Raw genomic sequence first — 24,740 nt, forward strand, 5'->3', positions numbered from 1 at the left:
ATCTTGATCTCCTCCCCGACCCCTTTCCCCACCCCTTCAGTCATGAATTCATGACTCCAGCCTGGATAGCTCTTGACTGAGCACGCCAATGGTTGCAGCCATAGAATCTGAATTCATGGAGCCAAGTGATAGGGAGCCCAGCAGAGTGATTATGGGTACAGACCTGGGTGTTGGGAAGATCTGAGTTTTATCCCACTGCTGTCATTTATCAGCTGTGCAACTTCAAGCAAATTACCTCCTGTCTTAATCTGTGCTGCCATAACAAAATACCCAAGGACCAGGGTAATTTATAAACAACAGAAATTTATTTCTCACCATTTTGGAGGCTGGGAAGTCCAAGATCAAGGCACCAGCAGGTTTAGTATCTGGTGAGGGCTCAGTCACAGCTTCCAAGATGGCACCTTGACTTCTGTGTCTTCCAGAGGGGACAAATGCTGTGTTCTCACATCGTGGAAGGTACAAAGGGCAAATAAAACCTATCTTATTGGCCACAGACTCCTTTATAAGGTTGCTCATCCCCTAATTCCTTCCTAAAAAGTTGCACCCCTTAATATTGCTGCATTGGAGATTAAGTTTCAACATGAATTTGGAAGTGACACAAACATTCAAATCATAGTGCCTCCCCTCTCCAGACCTGAACTTCATCTGTAAAATGGGAATAAAAGTAGAACATTCCACTTAGGATTATTATGAAGATTAAATAAAATAACCATATTACTCAGCATACAATAATAAACCCTAGGTAATTAATAAGCCCTAGGTAACTTCTTTGTTCTATCCCTAAAAGGTTGGGCTTCAGTCTTTACAGCACATTCCCTCACTTCACAGAGACAATTTAAAGACTCCCTTGACCTTGGGAAATCTGGAATTTAATCTTGAACGTGTAAGGAATGCTCATGGGTTTGGAATCAGAAAAATTCAAGTGAATTCAATCTACCTCACAAGTTTTGATATCTCTAATTATGCTTACCTCCCATAGTTAAAGTAGATAATAAATGAAAAGTGCCTATCTCAATGTCTGGCAAAGAGTAGGTGCTTACAGCTGAAATTTCAATCAGCTTGAAAAGACAGTAGAAAGAACTTTGAAAGCTCTATGGGAAAAAGTGCTAAGAGGGAGCACGTAATCCCGAGAGAGAATATAAAGTATTAAATAGATTGTTCTTTTCAATATGGCTAAATTTTCAATGTAAACTTTCAACTTTCAATATAGCTAAACTAAGTTAAGTCTCCAAAAAATAATTAGCCCAGTTCATTAAATCAGGCCCATTCGACATGGGCCAAGGACAGTTTACATGGGTTTTGTTTGGCCTTGGATGTTGGCATCCCTTCAGCAGAGTTATAGATAGTTTTGACATTTGCAGCTTCTGTTAAACAAGAAGTTGGGGAAAACACAAGTGGGGCAGGATGGGCGGCTGGGTGCAGAAAGAATTTTTTTAAACAGAAAATAAATGTCGTTTACAGAGCACTATCAGGCATCAGCGTTGCAGGGAAAAATTCGGATGGGGCAAATTAAGTAACTGTTCCCATGATTAACTGTCTCTGCACAGTCAGTCATGTGACAGTAAATCTGGATTGAGTGGCAGCCGTGTTAACAAACTGGAGAGAAGATTGATGTCCATCCGACACCAAGAAATGCACAATCAAAGTGAAAAGCTCTTTCAGCCCTGTGCCAGTCAGTGTATAAATATGTATCACTGGCTTCTAAAGTGAGTTATGATTTCATTCTCCTACTGGTACCTGAAATCTAGAGAGGGCATTTGTCTAGTCCCTGTATCGGGGGTGACAGGTATAGCAACGTGGTCACACGGGGGAGATATCTGCTTGGCAGATAAATCAGGCACAGTGAAGGGACCTGTTGTTATCAATTTGATCTTGGGGGAAAAACATCTTCCTGTACTCAGGCAATATTGTTACTGAATTGAACGGGTCCTTCCTTTACCGAAGCATTTGTAGGCGCCGTTTTCTCCCATCTGTTGTGTGTCTGGATGAACTGGTGTGCAGCTTTCAATTTCTACACTTCACACAAGATACTGTCTGGCTTGCCCACTAGGGTGTAAACACCTTGAGGGCAGATCCATGTGTGATGCCTCTGTGCTCCCATCTTTAGTGCAGGGGTTACCATTGTTTGTTCATTTGAAATGAACAAGAAGGCCAAGCCTGAAATCTAACCTCCACCAGCAGTAGAAGAAACACCTGAATAACAGCTCCAAGAACACAGGGTTTATTTTTCTGGGTCTCTGTGATGAGGTCCATGACCTCTGAGTACATCTTCAACATGCAGGGTTCATTTCTTCTCGTTCTATTCACTGTCATCAGGCAAGTTTCCCTTCTGAAAAGTTTCCTTTCTGGAGCTTCCCATCTAACCACTGAAGTAACAGATTCCAAATCTCTATCGGCAGCTGAGAGCCTTCTCCTGGGCTCTAAACCCATATGTCCAGTTTTCTTGAGGATCTCTCCATCTGCATATCAAACTCAGCCTATCCAAAGTGGAGCTCAGCACCCTGCATCTCTTCTTCCCACATCTTTGACATTGATATCAATCAATGACATTGTCACTGCCCCAGCTGCTCAAGCCAGAAGCCCAGCAAGCATCCTTGACGCCCCCACACCTGACATGACAGCCATGATGAGTGGACTCTAGCAAGAAGTTAGACTCTTGCTTGAGTGGTGTGAGTCCTGGCTAGGATGCTCCTCAGAGCTCGTATTCCTGAGAATTTTTTTCCCTGTATGTTGACAGAGTGGACTTTGCAAGGATGAAGAGCTGACTCCATCCAGTCTCTAGAAAAGAAAAAAGGTTGAACCAAATGAGTGTTTCCCAAGCTAGCTCTACAGATGTATTTATCTGTAGATGGAGAAACTCCATACTAGACGATCTTTGACTTTGAGAAAGGCTGCAGAGCTTTCCTCTGCTCCCTAAGGCCAAGTCCAAGGAGGGAATTCCTTGGAGCCTCGTGTGCTCCCTGTCTCCCATATGGCGTCCAGAGACAGAACTTGAGGCTCTGCTCTCCTTTACCCAATTGTAGAAACCCAAAAGTTAACCCTGGGAAGGGACCAGAGAGAGGGAGGGAGAGCAGCCCCACAGGACATTGTTTGGACAATTTCAGCATCAGCACATTGTGGTCAGAGGCAAGAGGCCCCCAGAGAGACCACTCCCTCCTAAACCTCTCCCTTTTTTTCACAAGGGAAGCCTGTGACTGGATGCTCACCTAATCAGGGTTGAGACCAGCTGAGCATTGAGGTTAAGAACGTACACAGGTTTGGAGTCAGATAGATTTTTGGTCAAACACCAGTTCCACTGCTTACTCACTGTGTAACCTCAGGCCAGTCATTTTATCTCTCTGAGCTTCAGTTTCTTCACCAGTAAGACAGTCCTACCTCATAGGGCTGTTGTGAGAATTAAGTGCAATTAGATATGTACAAGTACTTGGTCCAGTGGCAGAAACATAGTAGATATTTGGTAAGTGATAACTATGATTTTACTGATGATCACAATCATCTTTCTGTTTTGAATTCTAAGTCCTTCCAGTCCTTGAAAGACTGTTTCAAGTCCTTCTCTTCCTGGAAGCCTTCTTGGATAATTCCTGTCCTGGTCATCTGACAAGGAATTGGCACTTTCACTGAGCCATTTGCCGGGCCAGGAGATGGGGAGACAAAGATGACACACACACAACTCCCGCCTCCAAGCAAGTTACGTATGGTCCTAAGCAGAGTTCAAAGCCCCTACCCACCACTTCTTCACTGTGTGAAGTTCACTCTCCAGAGGCTCAGATTTCTCACTGATACAATGGAGACAATATTCCTTACCATCATCGGTGGTATTGAGTGTGGAAAAAAGCTGGCAGGCAGGAAGGGAGTGAGGAAAGGAAAGGAAGGGTACATAGGGAAGGAGGAAAGGAGGTAGGGACTAGAAGGGAAGAAAAAAGGGAAGTGTGAAGACCAATGCGCTCTGAGATAGGAACGAGTGGATGAATGGATGGGTGAAATAATGAACCATGTTTCTCCCTGCCATCTCCAGGTCCCACAGCCAGCCTCCTTTCGGCCCACATGCAGGATACCTGCTGCCTCATCTTTGTGGAGAGAGATTTCCTTTTCCCCCTCTTACAGCCCACTTCTCAATGAGGGAAACTTATTTGAAGGCCGCTGCTCCGAGAAATGACATCATCGGACAGAGAGCCTGCACCTTCACCCATTTACAGACATTAATAATACATGGCAAAAAGCTGCCGCTTTATTTTATTTTGTCCTCCAAGTCAAGCTCTTTAAATCAAATATTTAAGGAGAGAATATTTACTCACACATCCTCCAGGAAGCATTTCTGGTCTTAAAGGCAAATGTGCACCGCAGCAATGGAGGGCGTGTAGGTACAACCGTGGAGTAGTAACTCCTTTCACTTTCACAAAAACCCCGCAAGGTGCTGCGTTTAGCGTCACCAGTTTATAGATAAGGAAACTGAGGCTCATAGAGGTTACATAAAATTTCCTAAGGTGAGTCAGCTTCTGAGCAGAAGGGCATAGATTCACACCCATGCAGTCTGACTGGAGGCCACAGGATTCCCGATTCATGGTACCACCTCGCACTCAGCCTAGCTGTGAGGGGCAGGAGGCTGAGAATGATGGGTGAGCAGGCACTAGCCAGACTAGAGGTGGGTACCCATCCTTGCTGGGGCACAGCACTCACCTCTAGGAAAGTGAATGAGCATCCCATGTACTTGACATTACCCAGAGACAGTCAAGTGCAGGACATTCAGAATGTCTGCAGTGTGGGTAGGAGTGTGGTAGGAAATGAGGTCAGAGAGAAGCTGGGTTAGAACTGGAAAGACATTGAACACCAAGCTAAGGAGTTATGGCTTTATCCTTCAGGCAATGGGAAGCCATCAGAGGGGTAGATGGGTTCAGATTCGTGCCTAAGTGAGCAGTTTGGGAGGCTTTGGGGACAATGGATTAGGGTGGAAGAACATGGCAGCAGGGATGTTGGTTATTATGATTTTGAAGCACTCCCATTTCTTGAGAACCTACTGTGCCAGGTCTGTAATGTATTTTCTCTCTAGTCTTCACCCTGTGAGGCAGGCATAATTGTCCCCATTGAACAAATGGGGAAGTACAAAGGGCATGCCCTGGGGGAAGGTCCCTTCCGTGAAGCAGCAAATTAAAGCTGCTTCTCTGTTCCCTCCCAGGTCAGCCCCCTCAGTGACCCATGACTCCCCCTAGTGCCCACCTGAAAACCAAGAACTGACAGGGATATTTGTTCCCTCACACCTGCCTTCCATGGGTCCTTCCTGAACACCTACCGTGTGCAGGTCTCAAACCAGGCTCTAGGTAGGAGTCCTGGGCAAGACACACTTACTGCTGAATTAACCAAAAGGAAGCAGATCACTCTGAATCCTGGGCTTGCAGCCCCAGTGCCATCCCCACCCCCAACTCCTGTCCTGGGCTCTCTAAGCAATTACATCCAGGCACATTAGTGGCCACCAGCTAAATGCTGAAGTGTGTGTTTCCTGCTATAGGATCGCTTATCGCTGACTCTGCAAGGCCTGCTCTAAGTGCTCAAGAGCGGGGGAAGGGGCCTGGCAAGAGGGAGGATCAGCTCAAGAGTGGACTGCAGCCCTCCCCCCATGGAGCCCAGAGCCCCCCATATTTAAAAAGCAAGAGCTTCTGGAAAGGATTCAGGGTTGGGGGAGTCATGTTTAAATGCACTTTTAAAAGGCATCACATCAGACAATCTTTGCAAGCCACAAATGGAGAGAGGGATGGCCAGGGAAGGGAAGGGGGTCTGGTTAATGGAACAAACAGGAATTGGAGTAGAGAGCAGAATGGGGATTGTGGAAGAAAGCCAAAGCCCCTTTTTGCTTGGGACTAAGATGTCTCAGAGGGATTCCAGGTCTAAGGGACCAATCAAGTTCCATTCATATCCACATCCACATTTATTGAGAATCTACCTTGACATCAAGGTCACACGAGTGGCTGCCAGGATCACCTTGCAGCTTTGAGAATCAAATGACATTAGTTCTGACTCCCAACTCACCGGGCAGGTCAGAAACCCAAAGTCACCTCCCGCCTCCCCCTGAGCCTTCTGGGTGTAGGATTTAGATTTCGCCTGGTCTGCTCCGGCTCCTTGTGTGTGTTTCTGCTGCAATGACTCTGCTCAAGAGCTACACACATGGTCCCTTTTCCATGCAGCCTCACCCACACTAGACACACCCTAACCTCCTCTCCCTCCCCAACCAGCGTCCCTGCCCCAAGAGGCTGGAAAGGAGATAGGGAGGCAGACTTTGCTGGCAACTGGCAGAATTCCCAGTCCCTTCCTGCACACACATGTTCATCTAAAACACTGCCCTAGGCCTCCTCTCTTCCTGTGTGGTCTGGTCCCAACCTCTGTCTCCAGCCTCATCACAGCCCATCCACTCTTTTGCACTCTGAGATCTAGCCACTCTCATATATTCTCCATTATCTTGAATGTGCCACACTCCTTCCTGCCTCAGGACCTTTGCACAAGATGTTTGCTCTGTCTGCAATGCCCTTTCTCTATTCTTCCCCTGAAGAACTACTCAGGTCTCAGCACAAATGTCACTTACTCAGTGAAGGATTCCATAACTCCCCAAGCTAAATAATATTTCCCATCCCCTATCCACCAGTGTGTTCTATTCCTTCATTATTCTTTTGCTTTATTGCATGTATTACTCTGTGTGTGTGTGTGTGTGTGTGTGTGTGTCTGTGTATGTAAAGTCTGTCTCCCACACCAGACTGCAGGCTTCGTGATGGTGGGGTTCACATGTCTAGTAGACGCTCAACAAAATGTGTTGAATGAATGAATGGTGTGTGTAGGATATATAAGTAATTTAAGAGGAGTGATAAGGATCTCTAACACATTGAAGGAGGCTTCAGGAAGAAGCCAATGCCTAAGTAGGGTTTTGAGGTACAAAAAGTACTCACTGGAGGGCTCAGATCAGAGAGCAGGTGCTGACACTCTTCGTTCTTCAGAAAGAGAAGAGCTTGAAGCCACAGAACAGAATGGGTGTTTGAGGGAACCACACATGGTGTGGTCTGACAGAGGAGTTAAATGCAAGAGAAAAGAGGATGAGGTGAAGCTGGAAAGATGGGCAGGAGATAAAGTTAGAACTTAATAACCAGACAATGAGGCAATGGGGAGCCATTGAGGGATTGTGAGCAGGACAGTGATGGGATTAGAGACCTGGTTCCACTGGGGAGGGGAAGTGGCCAGGGAGGGCTGGGCTGGGGACCACCATCGGATGGCTGTTGCAATGGCAAGGTAGTGGGTAATTGGGAGACCAGGGTGTGTGCACTGGGGTAAGGGTTCACCCAGGAGGAAGACAGACTTGCTGGAGGAGATAGATGACCTGTTTTGGGACATGTTGAGTGGAAGGTGCCCATAGTCATCCCAATGGAGATGTCCATGAGGCCATAGGATCTATGGATCAGGAGCACCAGGGAGGTACCTAGGCCAGAAATGCCAGTCTGGGAAGCCAGCTTGAAGGCGGCAGGTGGAGCCAAGGTCATGGGTGAGTGGACAGGAAAGATATCCAGAGGGATAGGGCTCCCTAGCTCCTTCCAGACCCAACAATCATTGATTTTATGAGCACTGGAAGCTTGGTTTGAGAGGGGAAGGGGAGGAGTGGAGTTCATGCTCTCCGATCCAGACAGAGGAGCCGGAGGGAGCAGAGAGATGGAAGGGGCTTATTATCCTCCATCTCCTTGCACCAGGCATCACTCAGATGGGCATCTGATTGCTGGCACTAATGAAAAGGCCTGCCTGCAGCCTGGCAGCCTGGAATCAGGGGCTCACGGGATTGGGCTGGGCTGCCAAAGGCCACTGGCTCTGCCCCCAACCCTCTCCAAACCTGGTAAAGGTTTGAGCCTGATGCATCTTCAGTGGCATGTGACTGGTCTGCAGTGAGGACTTTCTTCCCAGGTGCTGGCCCTTCAGAGGGACACTGGCCAGTGGAGTTTTCACTAGCGAAGGTTAGAATCTATGTTTCATGAGGGACAAGAACAGAACTAGTGTGCTGAGGCTGAGAAGAGGAAGTCAGAAATCCCAAGAGGCTTCCCAGGGCCAGGAGAGGAAATGTGAGGGGCAGAAGGTGGGGGGTGACAGTAGAGAGCTCCCTGTTGCAGTGAGTGAAGGATATCCTGCTATAGAGAGAATCCAAATCTTGAAGAAGAGGTAGACTAAGGTGACTCTTGGGGCCCCTTCTCTCCCTTGGATTCTAAGTCTTTACAATTCACATGCAATGTTTTTTTTTTGGGTATCCATTATTGCATCTGATCCCCAAGGTCCAGAAAGTTCTACCTAGCATTTCAGCATATCACCTCAAACAGTCTCAGCTACATTTGCCCACATTCCTGTAGCTACAAGCATTCTGGAGCCACACATCCCCTTTAACCCAGTCCTTCCAGCCCCTCCCTCTTTGCCCCTAAACTGTTCCCCGACTATCCCATCAGTGTGGTCGTATGCAAGTTGCTTGACGCCAAGAGAATGGAAGGTGAGAGCCCAGATTTCAACATTATGCAAAAGCTAATCAATCCTATCAGACTCAGCTAATGCAACTCTCTTGTGCTTCTAGCCATAGTTTTCTGCTCAGTGTTACCAGTAACCTCCGGGAAGACTGCTTGGCCATGACTGCCCTTCTTTAAGTCACAGAGAATAATTCAAGATCTTTATAGGAAGGAGTTTTGTTGGGCTTCATTTTCATCCCCACAATGGGGTCCTGAGCTTGTGGTATTCCACCTACATAGCTGGACTGAGCTACTCTGGAAGATGCTTGTGGGTTTGACCTGACAGCTTCTCCTACCTCCTGCCCCTTCCCTTTGGCCATGGATGTACTAGATGCCATGGGAAAAGCTCAGTGACCACACATGAGTACTGGCTCCCCCAACCAGGACCCCAGGTGGCAGAAGGCAGGCAGACAGGTGTATGTGCTTCTGACTCATGCCCACTTGCTGCCATCTTAGAATTTAGATCCCCCAGTGGCTGCTGAGGGGTAAAGTTGCTACCTCATGGGAGAAAAGTTTGGCCCATAGGAGAAGGAAGCCAGTAGAAAAATGCTTCTGCCTTCTTCCCTTGGGCAAACTGTTTGAAGCTACAATAGACCCTCTGAAGATATCTTGCAAAGCTATTATGAACTGCACAAAACTAGTCAACTCAGTAACACACTCCCTTGGATTGGCAGAACTTCTCTCTTGCCTCACTGCCCTTTACCCCTTTCTTTTTTTTAAGACAAGGTCTGACAAGGTCTAGCTCTGTCACCCAGGCTGGAGAGCAGTGGTGCCATCTCAGCTCACTGTAACCTCCACATTCCGGGCTCAAGCCGTCCTCCCATCTCAGCCTCCCGAGTAGCTGGGACTACAGGCATGAGCCACCACACTCAGCTAATTTTTGTATTTTTTGTAGAGACAGGGTTTCACCATGTTGCACAGGCTGGTCTCAAATTTGTGAGCTCAAGCGACCCACCCACTTCAGTCTCCTAAAGTGCTGAGATTACAGGCATGAGCCACCGTGCCTGGCTTACCCCATTCTTACTTCCTTGGGATAGCTTTCCCCTGTAATGATAATACAGCCAGCCCTCCAAATCCACTAGTTCTGCATCCCGGATTCAAACAACTATGGATCAAAAACATTTGGAAAAAACAGACAATAAAAAATTACAATACAATAAAAAATAATACAAATAAAAAGTAGACTGTAACAACTATTTGCATAGCATTTACATAGTATTAGGTATTATAAATAATCTAGAGATGATTTCAAGTAAGTGGGAGGATGTACATAGGTTATATGCAAATACCATGCCACTTTATATCAGGGACTTGAACATCCACAGATTTTTGTATTTGTCAGGGTCCTGGAATCAATTCTCCACTGATATCAAGAAATGACTATATATAAATTGCTGCCTATGGTTCTGTTTCCTTGAGAACTTGAGTTGATGGGTTACAATGTGGCTGGTGAGTTTTTCATCCCTAGAAAGAGGAAATTCTAGAATGGCAATAAGAGACTCCATCTCATTGAATTTCCCTTGCAAGGCCCACCATGGAGTCTTCTCAGGTCCAACTTTAGTGACTTACAAGACTATCATAGGTCATCTTCAGCTCAGTCTACTCAGAAGGGTATAGGGACACTGTTCACCAACAGGATGGCATCAAGGGTTCCTAAACTACAGGAGCCCTTGAAGAAGCCCACAAAGCAATATAGCTCAAGTGCAGGGAGACAAGACCCACATCAGGCCGGCTTGAGAACCTGCCCGCCCCACATGAGCTAATATCCCTTGTAACTACTTCTGGGGCCAGGGTCATGGCACTCAGAGAAGCTCAAAAATATGGCCTCCTATCAGGTAACTCTCCCCAGTCACAAGTAGCTTACCAATAAGGGATCATTTCTGCCACAAGCAATACTGCCTAGTAACAAGGTTGACATATCCTTTTTATCCAGTTACCAGAGGAACAGAGCTACCAAGTTAATGAAAGGTCAAATCTCATGCAAAACGGGAAAGTGCATTGTTAACCTCTCACCCACACCACTCATTACATGAGCTCCAGAGGTATGGAGACTTGGCAAAGATCTCACGAGTCCAGGACAGGAAGTAGAAACCATCCTCGGTGTTTCACATGCAGGAAGGAATTTAATACAGGGGATTCACTAGACACAACAAGGAGCTGACATCCAAAAAGCAGAAAGTCACTGCCACTGCTGCTGACACATCTGCTCTTACCCCTCTGAGCTGGTGAGTAGAACCTGGAATACTAACTCTACCTGCTACAAACATGCGAGTCTCTATAACTTTGCTTATGGGCAGCAATAGCAGGATGAAAATTGTCTCCTTCTCCTCCCTTTTGCCTTCCAAAGTTTCACATGAGTGCATCTCATCAGTGGAACACACAACTTACATTCAGACCTAGCTGCAAAGGAGCCAAGGAAATGCCATTATTAGATTTCCTGGAAACTACATAGAAAAGGATGAGGATGGATGTTGAGTACCAGGTGAGATATTCAGTGTGCATAGCATATTAGTGGTAAATCCACTCACGATTCCCCTCTTCCAGGCCAGGCTTCTCTTTCCTTTGGCACTTCCTAGTTCATGATCCTTTCTCTCTGAGCCTTCAAGCACTGCCCCTAGCCCTTCAAACACTCCATCTTCCCTCCCAACACAACATAATGCAGTAGCATCTGAATGTCCAGCAGCAGAACTGTATGGGTCTGGGACAAAATGGTCATAGGAGGAAAGTGGTCAGATGTTCTTTCTTAAAGCAAATTGATCTTTTTTTCCTAGAATAATGCTCTTCCTTCATTGTTGGTGGTTTTATTTGTTTTTGGACTATTAGTAGTAGCAGTAGTATTACCATTTTTATCACTAGTATTAGTATTATCTCCTCTTCCCATACTCTCGAATCCTTAGTCTCTGCTTAACTTTTCTTAACCTTCACTCTAACATGGCTTTCAGTGCACAAAAAAAGAGAAAGACCAGGAGACTTGGGCAGCCTCTCACTGCCTGTCATGGAATCAACCAGCTTGGGGAAACTTGTGAGTGGAGGTAGGGGCAGAGTTATCTCCTGGCCCCAAGATACAGGAGGAAGAATACAGAATAGGGGAATTCAAAATCTACTTACTGCCAGGTCTGTAAACAGTAGGCTTGAGCAACCAGTAACCCTACTGAAGAAGGTTGTATTAATGGCCCCAATTCTTCATCTCTCCCTATATTACGACCCTTGGACATGTAACTTTGTGGGATCTGCCTATTCCAAGGAGGGAAGGGGTAAGGGGTAAGGGCAAATTCCCCATCCCATGACTCTAGGCTTGGGTCTATGACTTACTTTAACCAATGAGATGTTAGCAGGCATGATGTGACTGACCTAAGTCTTACAAAGCTACCTCTCTCAACGCCATGAGAAAGACATGCCCAAGCTAGGCCACTGTCCCCCAGGAGGAAGGCAAGAAACATATGGAACAAGCCCACTCTCAGCCAAGCCTGGCCTGGATCACCTCATCCCAGCCAAGTCACAAATCCATGAGAATGAATCATTTTTGTTTTAAGCCACTGAGTTTTGAGCTTGTGTGTTATACCACAATGGTATATGGTTAACTGACTCATATCATGGGTCCCATCCTTCTCTTGCCTTCCCTACTGTCTCCCAAGCGCCCAGCAGCACGCCCCACCCGCAGTCTCTCTAGGGAGACACTAATCCTAAAAATATTTCTTCCCAACTAGCAAGAGCCTCAGCATCAGGATACCTGAGTTCCAGCCCTGATGTCCCCTCATTAAACCTCAGTTTCATATCTGTTAAATACATAGAATGTGGCCAGGCAAGCTTGTATTTATAGAACACTTACCTCATGCCAGGCACTTTCTTATGCCTTTATAAAATTTGGGGAGGTAGCTGATTTTATTATTCACATTTTACAACCTAGGAAACTGAGACTCAAGGAGGCAGCATGACTCATCCAAGGTCACACAGTCAGCAAGAGAAGGATACATGGCCAGGTGCGGTGGCTTACACCTGTAATCCCGGCAATTTGGGAGGCCAAGGTGGGTGGATCACCTGAGGTCAGGAGTTCAAGATTAGCCTGGCCAACATGACGAAACCCATCTCTACTAAAAATACATAAATTAGCCAGGCATGGTGGCACGCACCTGTAATCCCAGCTACTCAGGAGGCTGAGGCAGGAGAATCGCTTGCCCCCAGGAGGCGGATGTTGCAGTGAGCTGGGATTGTGCCACTGCACTCCAGCCTGGGCGACAAGAGCAAAACTCCATCTCAAAAAAAAAAGAAAAGAAAAGAAACAAAGAAAAAGAGCAAGAGAAGGAGCCAGGGTTCAAATCTAAGATTTTGAGTTGCTAAACCTAAAAATTGGAATCCCGGCTCCTTCAACTTCCACTTGGAGGTTTCTTCTTTGAACATGTGTCTGGAATGCAGTGTGGGGATTTACAAGCTATACTTCCTGGACTCCTTTGCACCTGGGGTTTAACTGTGATTAGGTTCTGCCAACCAAATGCTGCCATGCAAGCTTTGGAAGGCAGAAGAGGAGCATCACAGGGAGAGAAAATGCCTCAGCTGCCCCTTCTGCAGACAAGCCCAGTCACAGGTGTCTCTGATGCAGCTGTAGCAGAAGTCCCAGAGCTTGATCCCTCACTTTGAAGAAAGGCAGGGCTTGGGCATCCATTCAGCCTCTCTGAATCATGGAGAGGTGGCATGGCCCTAACCTGCAGCAGCAGGGGGGCCTCTCAACCTGGCAGGCACCTGCTGACCCGGCATCATAGCAGCAACAGCAACTCCCTTGGTGTCCCAGTTCTGTGTGTGGCTTTGGGAGATGCTCCTAAAATTTCAACCTAAAATCTGTTTTTTCAATGCTCCCAGTGATTCTGTAAGCACTGTAATAGTCTGTAAGACCCTGGGTGATTTTGTACCTGAACCCCAACCAATACAGATACAAACATCTCTCCCAACTCCTTTACTTCCACATGTCAAAACCAAGATCCAGAGAAAGCAAGGGGCTTAGCCACAATTGCCTGAGAACCGGTGTGTCCCAGACCTTCGTATTCCAAGCCTGTGCTCTTTCCACTCCACCTTCAGTAACAGAGAGAAGGAGAAAAGCCAGGGAATGTTGTGACAAGAACCCAGGAACCCTGATTTCCGGGCTTGTTTCAGACAATGATTCTATTGGTCTGGAGACATCCTTTCTTAATTTAGAAAGTTGTGTAAGTTGGCACTGAGTATTCCAAGGAAGATATTAGCCTGAAGCCTTTCTTTCCTCACTATAATCCTCGGCAGACCCTATGTTACCTACCTGAAAAGCCCCACATTTGGCTGGACCAAAAATAGGACATTTTTGGAGAAGGCAATAAAAGTCTGACATATTGCTTAAATACTGTAAGTATAAGTTCCAAAAGATGCATGCACTAACCAGATTTATCAATATTAAAAACCATCTCTGTGAGTATGAAAAGTGAGCATAATTGTGGGAGGCAGCTTTTTCTTTGCTTTTTTAAAAAATCATATTATTTAATTTTTAAAGCATGTACACATTATTTTTAATAAACAACATTTAATTATTAAAATAGTAACTTATACATATGTAAATGGTTCTATATAGTACATAAAATATATATTTAGAGATATATGACATATATGTTTTTTATGGATGTATGTGTATATATATACACATATTTGGAAAGTCCTAATGTCATGAGAAATGGCAGTTACATAAGTTGAGTAAATTTGGCTTTATGAAAAACTGATTTTTTTAAATGCCTGCTATGGCAGGTAACTTCACTCCTGAATTATCTTCTTCAGAATGCAAAAACACATTTTATCTTATGCCAACTATATTTGTTTTTAAGTTTTTATGCCAGCCACCCTGGTTTACAATGAGATGTCTTTTTTATTCTTGCATTCTTCCCTATATTATTTTTGCAAGGCATGGCAAAATGGTTATGGAATGGACTTTCCATCAGTTATCATGATGTTAAGGGCACATTTTTCTGGCTCTGGTGTAAGAAAATTCTGCATTAAACAAATCTCTACTTGCCCACAAATTTTGAAAATTTCGAGTATAGCCATTTAGCTACAGTATCATAAACCATGGCAAGCAAAGCTGCAGTTACTAAGGGCTTCCTACCCATTCACACGTGAGAGGGCAAACTGACCCCACCCTCATTCCGCTGATCTCAGTGACATCTGACCCTCTGCTCTGGAACTTCCAGGACTGAGACCAAGGTTGGCATTCAAGGCGCTACTAAGAGTAGGTTGTCCTCAAGGCTTCTGAAGTCTGGCCCCTACTTACTTCCTCTCCTATGCCTCACTCCAGCCAAATGCACCTTCCCAATATGTCCCTAAACCATTCCTTGACTCACTCTTTCTTCTTCCTAGATTTCCCTGACATTGTCACATGTCCAGATCCTTCAAGGTGAACTACAATAATAAAAACAGCCAGTAATTCGAGCACTTGCTATGTGCCTAAGTATACGTTCAGAGATTTTGAAGCAGCAAACACTTACTGAATGACATATATATTAAGTCCTTTGCATCCATTTCCGTTTAATCTACACAACCATCGTCTAAGGTCCACCTCAGGAAAATGAGTGACAGAGTTTACTAACTTGCCCAACGTCCCCCACCTAGGAAGGACTGAATCCATAGTATGAACTGGGCAGTTCATCATCAGAATCACGTTCTTCTTTACAACACTATATGGGGTTCTGGACAGTCGATTGGTACACTGTAAACAATTGTTGTCAAGGAAAAAGGCTATAAACACCTCAAAAAGTTAAGCATAGAATTACCGTATGACCCAGCAATTCCACTCCTGGGTATATATCCAAGAGAAATGAAAGCACCTGTCCACATAGAAATGTGTACGCTAGTGTTCATAGCAACATTATTCACAATAGCCAAAAGGTGGTAACAACACAAATGTCCATCAACAGAGGAATGGAGAAACAAATTGGGGAATAGTCAGACAATGGAATACTATCCAGCTATCAAAAGGAATTAAGTAACGATAGATACTACAGCATGAATGAACCTTGAAAGCATCCTACAATGGCCCTGTCACTATAGGATGTTGATCAGGGAAGCTGTGCATATGTGGGGCTGGGGGATATATGGGAAACCTCTGTACCTTTTGCTCAATTTTGCTCTGAACAGAAAACTGCTCTAAAAAAATAAAGTCTATTTTTTTCAAGTTGCTGTATGAGTTTGCTAGGGCTGCCATAACAAAGTACCACAGGCTGGGTGGCTTAAACAACAAATTCATTTCTTCGTGATTCTGGAGACTAGACATCCAAAGCAAAGTGTTGGCAGTGTTGGTTTCTTCTGAGGTCTTTCCCCTTGGCTTGCGGATGGCCACTTTCTCCCTGTGTCCTCACGGGGTCTTCCCACTGTGTGTGTCTGTGTCCTAATCTCCTCTTCTTACAAGAGCCATCAATCAGGTCGGATTAGGGATCACCCTAATGACCTCAATTTAATTACTAAAGACTCTGCCTCCAAACACAGAAAACTTCTGGGGTACTGGAAGTTAGGACTTCAACATATGCCCATAACAGTCATATATTATATGATTTCTTTTCCATGAAATGTGCAGAATAGGCAAATCCATAGAGACAGAAAGCAGACTAGTGATCACCGGGGCAGAGGAGGAGAGTGAGCACCAAATGAATCAGGGTTTCCTTTGGGGGTGATGAAAATGTTCTGAAACTAGAAAGAGCTAATGGTTACACAGCATGATGAATCATAAGCTGTACATGGTTAATTGTATGATATGTGAACTTCACCTCAATAAAAACAGGTTAGAAAGAAAGGGGCTTCTCTGAGATTCCCATTCTTCCCCCTCCCCCGAGCCACAGTACAAGGTCTCTATGCCTCTTCACCCAGGGTAAAGCCCGGGGCACTGAGAGACCATGGGCCTGGAGTTGTCCTAAGTATGACATAAGATTAAGTCAAGTTTGCCAAAGACAGAAGGAAGAAAATGGCCCCAATTTCAGGAGGATATAAATGAAACCAAAGCTCTGAGCAGAATATCAATCCAAAGAACCAACTGCTGTGTGTCTGAGACTGGCCAGGTATGAAGTTTATTCCTGTGTTCTGGGCCCCTTGCCAGCACTTTCTGTGAAGGCTTTGTAAATGCATCAGGCTGGCCTCACGCTCCATCCTTTGTTCTCTAAAAGGGAAACTGTTTCCCAGATTTTGCCTCAAGGTGGGGAGTCAGAAAGATGAGGGGTGCGACTACACGAGGAACATGAGCAGACTCTATTAATGCCTCCCTGGGGCCGCAGCCAGGGCCCTGCCTCCTCTGGGGCCTCAGTGGGGTTCCATGTGGTCCTGGGTCTCCTTGACCCCAGTGCCTCCCACAGGACATGGAGGTGTTTGCTTTTTCACCTGTCTGCCACTCCGCACTGGGAGGCCCTGGAGTGCAGGGACAGTGTCTCATTCTATCTTGGACCCCTGGTGACCAGAACAGGGCCTGCAACAGAAGAAATGCTCAACTAAAGTCCGAGGAAGGAAGAGAAGGTGGAAGAAAGAAAAGAAGGACGGCATTTGATAGGAAGCAGATGGCATGATTAGAAATAATTCATGTGATCTTGGGTTCCACTCATCCCAGGCCTGGCTCCCAGGTGACCCAGGGACCTGACTCCTCTCCACCAAGGGGAGCTAAGGCCATGATGTGCTGAGAGCCTTCAAGAAGCAGGAGGGCAGAAAGGTCCGTTCCTGGTGTCATTTTGCCATCTCCAAGTTCATGAACCTGATTTGCTACATCAGACACATCAGACACTCCATCTCCCTCCTCCAACAGCGCCCCCACCCCAGTGACCACACACTCTCCTGGGTCTCCAGAAGTTCCCCTGAGATGAAGAACCCTTGTCCAACAATAACCTTCACCCCCCACCATGTGCCCCAGAGGTAGAGTCGGAATCTGTGGATTCCAGGGAGGACCTTGACTCACTCCTCAACAGCCCATGCCTCAGCTCCAGACTTTCCTGGGAAGCCTTCCCCTCACTCCACGCTGCTTCCTCTGTGCCTGTAACCAACTCCAGACTCGTTCTGCTCATTATGTCTGCATGACAGCCAGTAAGTCAAGAAACAAGGAGTTGGAGCAAGGAAGGCAACTTTATTCTGGAAAGGCAGCAAACCAAGACGATGGCAGACTAACGTGCTAAAGAACCATCTTAAAAGTCACAATGTTCAAGCTTCTTTTATATTGAGGAGGGGGGAAAGTGGAGGTTGAGGTCAGGAGATACCTGGTGAACATTGACATTTGGGCACCAGCAGGAGTCTCAGGAAGTCTGAGACTTCTTTGTCCTTGCTCGGGTCACAATGCGCCCATAAATTTTTATACTTTTATTTTAAACTCCGGGGTACATGTGCAGGCTTGTTACATAGGTAAACATGTGTCATGGAGGGTTGCTGTACAGATTATTTCATCACCCAGGTATGAAGCCTGGTACCCATTAGTTATTTTTCCTGAGGCTCTCCCCCATCCTATCAATTTTTAACATAACATTGTTACTTGTGTGTATGTCCTCCTTATTTCCTCAGGGGTTACTTTTGGGAAGGGACTATTATCATCCTTACTTTAAAGTTAAACTATAAACTAAATTCCTCCCATAGTTAGCTTGGCCTACATGCACAATGAGCAAAGACAGTTAGTTTGTGAGGTTAGGAGCAAGATGGAGTCAGCTGTGTTAGATTTCTCTCACTGTTACACACCTGACCTCGGGTCTCTTTTGTAATGCCTCTGTCTTCTAGGCATCTCCACCTAGTGCTCCTCCAGGGACCTGGGCACAGGAGGCCAGCACATGTCCTGCCCCCACAAAGCTGCTCCTGATCCTGTGTTCTCAGCTGCATCTCTCAGTTTTCCCAGGTCCTGAGGTCACCTGCAGTGGTTCCCTCTCCCATTCCCATCATCAATCAATCACTGTATCCAGGTCATGATAACTTCTCTCCGTCTCCTTCCATGTTCAACTCACTACCATCTCTTTCTCTAGAACCACATTAACAGGTCTTCCAACCCTAAAGCTTGCTCCCCCTACAGCCCACCACACTATATAGCCAGAGCAAGTTCTCCAGCACGATGGTCTGACTGGGGCAACATCCTTCTCCTCCAGGACAAAGCCCAATGTCCCCAGCCCTCCACCACCTGGTACCAACCCACCCTTCTAGGCTGCCTTCCCCCTCTCTTGCAGCCTAGTCTCTTCCCTCCAATCACACTGCCTACTAATGATCTACCAGTTTCTCCCCACGTGAACCATCCTCTTCCATCCCTTTGCATGCACATTGTCTTCTGCTTAGAATACCTTTTCCTCATCTCTATCTAATAAATTTTTCTTCACCCTAAAAAAATCTATTCAAATATCAGCTCCTGTGATGGCTTTTTCAATGTCACAGGCAGAGGTAGCTGCTTCTTCCTCTATTCTCTCACAGTAGAATGTAAAAAGCATTTGTTAGGAGCCACATCACAATGCACCAGAATTATCCATTTACAGTATTTGTCTCACCCATTAGAAGATAAATGCCTTGAATTCAAACTCTGAGTGCTCACATGCTTAAGAATGTGCCCAAGAATAGGGTAGGCAACACTAAGTATTTGTTGGAAGGAAGAGAGAGACAGAGAGAGGAAAGGAGAGAGGAAAAGAGAAAAAGGAAGGAGGGAAGAAAAAAGAGGAAGGGAGGGAAGGAGGGAGGAAGGAAAGAAAATAAGGGAAAAAAGGGGGAAAGGAAATGCATGAATAGATGTACAGAAGAGTTTTATCTGCTCATTTGGTTTCCCAGACTTACTGCTGAAGAAATGAGTGCTTTCAGTAGAATGGGTCAGGAAATCCTACTTGCTTCCTCAGTTTTCCCAAAGAGATCCATCTCCAGAAGACCAAATAAAATACGTTCTGGAGATTATATAAATTCAAATAAGCACAGGTTTTGAAGACTGGAAATTGTACAAGACTTCATTTTACAATTGTACAGACTTCTTTGTTCTTACATTCTATCAATATGAGCCCAAAAGCATTCACAGTGCAGACAGCATCATCCACCATCTTGGAAACTGAAGCTATATGATGGTTTTGCAAGTATCTTACAATGCAAAATTATGGGGGCAGGCCTGTCATGTGTTAATGTGTGCTAAACTTTGGATAGTTTGCAATAAAATTTCCTATGACTATTACTTATTGAATCCTTGCATTTTATGTTGGCCTTCTCATATAACCTTCGGCATGGCAATGGTGTTACTTTGTTCTGGGCTCCTAGAAAACATCCATCACTTGAGTTATGGAGAGAACAAATATCTACAAAGCACCTGCTCTTGGCAGACAGTGTTTCAATCATCTCATGAAGAAATCAAGGATCTGGGAAGCTGGGATCACACAGCCAGTGGTGACAGGGCCAGAACTGGAACCCAGGTCGCCAGAGTTCTCCCGTATTTTACCAATACCATGAGCTCCTAAAAGCACTTAAATTTCCAACATTAAGTCCTGTGTGTCTAACTCAGCATAAAACAAATCCTATCTAGAGCACGTGGTCTTTATCTCTGGCTAGTCAAGGATTTTATCTCAGATTGCCTTTTGGCATCTGTGCCCAGCATAGTGTCTTGCACATGACAAATGCTAAGTGAACTCCCATTGTTGGCTAGGAGATGAAAGTAGAGGGCCTTGGACTGGGAACTGGAAGACCTAAGTCACATGCAGTACTATCCACTAACTAGCTTTGAGTTTTAGCTGAACACTTATTCTCTCTGTTTCATGGATTCCAAATCTGTGTTTGGACTCAGTCTTAAGTAACATATCCAGATAGTCTTTGTTTAATCAACATATTGAGCATGTACTGTGTGCCTAAATGTACCACGTGCTTTTTATACTTCGACTCACTGATTCCCACACAAGATTGCAGGATTCCTTCTACCTGGAAGGGAAACCTCTTTGAGATCAATTGTTTTTTGTTTGCTTTGTATAAGCTTGAATTATTTTCAAGTGTGACTGTTTTATCTCTGTGATGGTTTTGCAAGTATCTTACAATGCAAAATTGTGGGGGCAGGCCTGTCCATGTGTTAATTCATGCCAAACTTTGGATAGTTTGCACTAAAATTTCCTATGACTATTACTTACTGAATCCTTGCATTTTATGTTGGAATAAAAAAATCTGGGAATGGGCAAAAAATATCTATAAATTACTTGGTCTTCAGGGATACCTAAATGTAATGTGAAAAAATGAAATTGCACCTGAAATGTGCTGTAATTCCATTGTATTTTGGTCTTTTATGGCTAGTTCATGTGGAGCCCAGCTCAGTCACAGCATAGGATTGCTGTAGTGTCATGGGCATTACTTTTTCGGAGTGGAAGTTTGCATGTTTCATGTCTTGGGCCAATCTTGTGAATAGTAAAAATGAGAAAGTAGACCCCTTATTTTTTGAGGTATGTACCTGATGGCCTCTAAGAAACTGGAGGGTAATATAGTCAACGATGGCTCCGGTAAAAAGGAAAATATAACGCAAAAGGAAATTGATTAAAACAATGAGTTTCTACCTTGTACATTGCTGGTGGGAATGTAAAATGGTGCTGCACCTATGGACATCAGTTTGATGGACGCTAAACTTAGAATTACCATATTACCCAGTAGTTCCATTCCTAGGTATATACCAAAGGAATGGAAAATAGACACTCAAACAGATACTTGTATGCCAACATTCATTGCAGCATTATTCACAGTAGACAAATGATAGAAACAATCCAAGTGTCCATCAACAAATAAATGGACAAACAACATGTGATATACACATAAATGTATATAGGTATATAATGTGATACACTTATATAATGGAATATTATTCCGCTATAAAAAAGACAAACATATAAATCCACTTACATGAAATAGCTAGAATAGGCAAATTCATAGAGACAGAAAGTAGATGAGAGGTTACCAGGGGCTGAGGGAAGGGAGGAATAGGAAGTTATTGCTTAATGGTACATAGTTTCTGTTTGGGTGGATAAAAACATTTGGGAAACAGATAATGGTGATGGCTGTACAACATTGCAAATGTAACTAATGCCACTGAATTGTACACTGAAAATTGTTTAAATGGCAAATTTCGTGTTATGTATATTTTACCACAATTTAAAATAAAATTTGGGAACAGAGAACAGAACTAAAGAAACCCAAATATATATCTGTGGGCTGACTGGAAAAGGTTTGGGATTCTTGATTTATTTCACAGTTAAACTGCTCATGCTTTGTAATATGTTCATAGAATATAAATAACATTAGTGATTATAGAGTATCAATTTCTGTCCCATTAAAGCACTAAAGACTTTCTTTCCAGCTCAGAAGAAGGAGGAGGAGGGGTGAGAGGGGAAAGGTAATGAGGTTCCTGTGGAGAAAACTAGGGGAGACTTTGGAACAAAACCTTGAGCATCAGTATTTATCTATATTCAACCATTGACTGTCATCTTTATTAGGCATTTGGAGATTCCTGAGCATGAGTATTTATCTATATCCAACCATTGATTGTCATCTTTATTAGGCATTTGGAGATTCCATCTGTGGTATTGAAAATGTACACTCCACATCTGGACTTTAGCCCAAGGGCAAACGGTAGCAATTGCCTGCCCCACGGAATGTGGCCTTTGTGAAAATTAGCACTATAGGGGTGCTCAGTAGAGGAGTTGAAATTTAGAATTCAAGGAATTAGGGCAGGTGGTTTCTCTTCCCTCCCAGCATACAAACCCCTATTTATTGTTCTGGTCAGAACTTTGCTCTTGATCCTCCAGAGTACACCAAAATACAATGGAAACAAAGGAGTTTGTCTCCCTCAGGTAGCCAAGTGGTGAGAAAATTTAAATTTAGAAGACATGGGGCTGGGCGCGGTGGCTCAAGCCTGTAATCCCAGCACTTTGGGAGGCCGAGGTGGGTGGATCACGAGGTCAGGAGATTGAGACCATCCTGGCTAACACGGTGAAACCCTGTCTCTACTAAAACTACAAAAAAATTAGCCGGGCATGGTGGCGGACACCTGCAGTCCCAGCTACTCGGGAGGCTGAGGCAGGAGAATGGCGTGAACCCGGGAGGCGGAGCTTGCAGTGAGCCAAGATCGTGCCACTGCACTGCAGCCTGGGCGATAGAATGAGACTCTGTCTCAAAAACACAAATAAATAAAAAATAAAAATAAATAAAAATAAAAATTAGAAGACATGGTATGATAGTTAAAAACAAGTTGAAGGATGGCAATACCTAGAACAATGAGACCATTCACAGTGGTCAAAGGATGCTGCTCCCGGGACTGGCAAAGAGGGAGCTGGTATTGGGATAATTTACACTTTCTGTTGCTTTGTATACAGAACTACAGCAGTTCAGAGGATCATTATCCTAATGTTATTCACCCATGATGGTAGAAAAGTAGTAAGAAAGAAGGAAAAAATGCAACGTTCGGGGTGGGGGTGGGAAGGAAAAGAAAAAACAAGGATAGATGAAAAAAGTTACAACCAAGTTATTTTAATAGGGAGATAAAATATGTAAAAGGACACTTAGGGAAAGTGTGGGGAATACTGAATGTAAAATATTGATCAACAGGAATCTATGATTTAGGAGAGTGGAAAAGTATTAAGGTGGCTAGAAACAAACAGTAGTTGGTAAATTCAGGAGAAAATCTGCAGATCAGTCAGATCTTGGAAGGGAGAAAGATGAAACAAGGAGAAAAAGCAAGCAGAACTGTGGAATCGTTACATTTTTTAAGTCTCAAGAGGGAAGCCCACTTGGGAGAGACAGAAATCTCCATCAAAGCCAAGTACTAATATATCACTCCCTAGTGCCCTAAAAATAGAAAACCTACTTTATGGTAATGACATTATAATGGGTAAAAGACATATAGAAATGAAGACACTGTGCATGTGAGGTATATTCATTTCCTTTTGCCACTGTAACAAATCACCACAAACTGCATGGCTTAAAACAACACAAACTTATTATCTTACAGTTGTGGAGGTCAGAAGTCTGAAATTGTCCTCACTAGGCCAAAACTGAGGTGCTTGCAGGGCCACTTTCCTGCAAAAAGGAAAAGCTCTAGGGAAGAATCCCTGGCCTTGTGTTCTCCCCCTGCTAGAGGCCATCTGCATTCCTTGGCTCCTTGCCCCTTCTTCCATCTTCAGAGCCAGTAGGACAGCATTTTCAATCTCTCTAACTCTGACTTCTCTTCCGCCTCCGTCTTCACTTTTAAGGATGCTGTGACTACATTGAGCCCATCCAGAGCATTCAGGATAATCTCCTACTCTAAGGTCATATGATTAACAATGTTAATCCCATCTGCAACCATAATTCTCCTGTGTCACCAGGCACAGTGGTTCACACCTGTAATCCCAGCACTTTGGGAGGCTGAGGCAGGCAGCTCACTTGAGGTCAGGAGTTTGAGAGCAGCCTGGCCAACACGGTAAAACCCTGGCTCTACTAAAAATACAAAAATTAGCCAGGCTTGGTGGCACATGCCTGTAGTCCCAGCTACGCCAGAGGCTGAGGCAGAAGAATAGCTTGCACCTGAGAGGCCGAGGTTCCAGTGAGCTGAGAGTGCACCACTGCACTCCAGCCTGGGTGACAGAGCAAACTCTATCTCAAAAAAAAATAAATCTCCTCTGCCAGGTAATGTAACGTAGTTGCAGGTTCTGGGGATTTAGATATGGGTGTCTTTGGGAGAGGGTTATTATTCTGCTTCCCACAAGAGGAACCACTCATGGTGTAGTTACCACCATCTATATAAAGGTCTGGAGAGAAGTTTGGGAGGGACTGTGCCACAGAAAAAAATGATATACAAAGAAAGACTATGACTTGTGGCCAACTTGAGCCTCCAGACTAGGGAAAGGTTTCCCTTCCAAATCCTGTCAATCTATTGTCCCTCCCCCTAGCTGTAGTCAGAGTCTGTTTTGAATCATAAGTTATGTGGTTGTACATCCAGGTTGCCTAAGCAGGTGACTCATCACCATCACTGCCGGAAGCAAATCCCAAATCCTTCTCAGTCAAGTCTGGAAAAAGACAAATACTCATCCTCCCAGGACTCCATGTAGGGAAAAAGTAGGGAAACCCGCTGCTTAGATTATTCCCCTGCCCTTGCTGTCTTTCCAGAGGGTTGGGCCCATCCAGAGATGGGGAGTGGACCAGGAGTCAACAGTAGGTTTAATTGCTAGACCCTTTCTAAAGATGAAGAATCTAAAGCACAGAGAGATTAAGTAACTTGTTCACAATCAGCTGTCTAGTAAGCTGAGAAAA

The 24,740-nt window shown here is 44.7% G+C and overlaps 1 long non-coding RNA gene across 1 annotated transcript in view; it reads right to left on the bottom strand.

The window, feature by feature from the left end:
* Window positions 1–2,205: 2,205 nt before the first annotated feature.
* The window catches only part of LOC105376253 (uncharacterized), a 44,641-nt gene continuing 22,106 nt past the window's right edge, over window positions 2,206–24,740 (bottom strand). Inside the window, exon 3 of the long non-coding RNA XR_002956934.2 lies at window positions 2,206–2,778. This is a non-coding gene — a long non-coding RNA (uncharacterized LOC105376253). The remainder of the gene's footprint in view (window positions 2,779–24,740) is intronic.

Source organism: Homo sapiens, chromosome 9 (assembly GCF_000001405.40).
Source record: "Homo sapiens chromosome 9, GRCh38.p14 Primary Assembly".
NCBI lineage: Eukaryota > Metazoa > Chordata > Mammalia > Primates > Hominidae > Homo > Homo sapiens.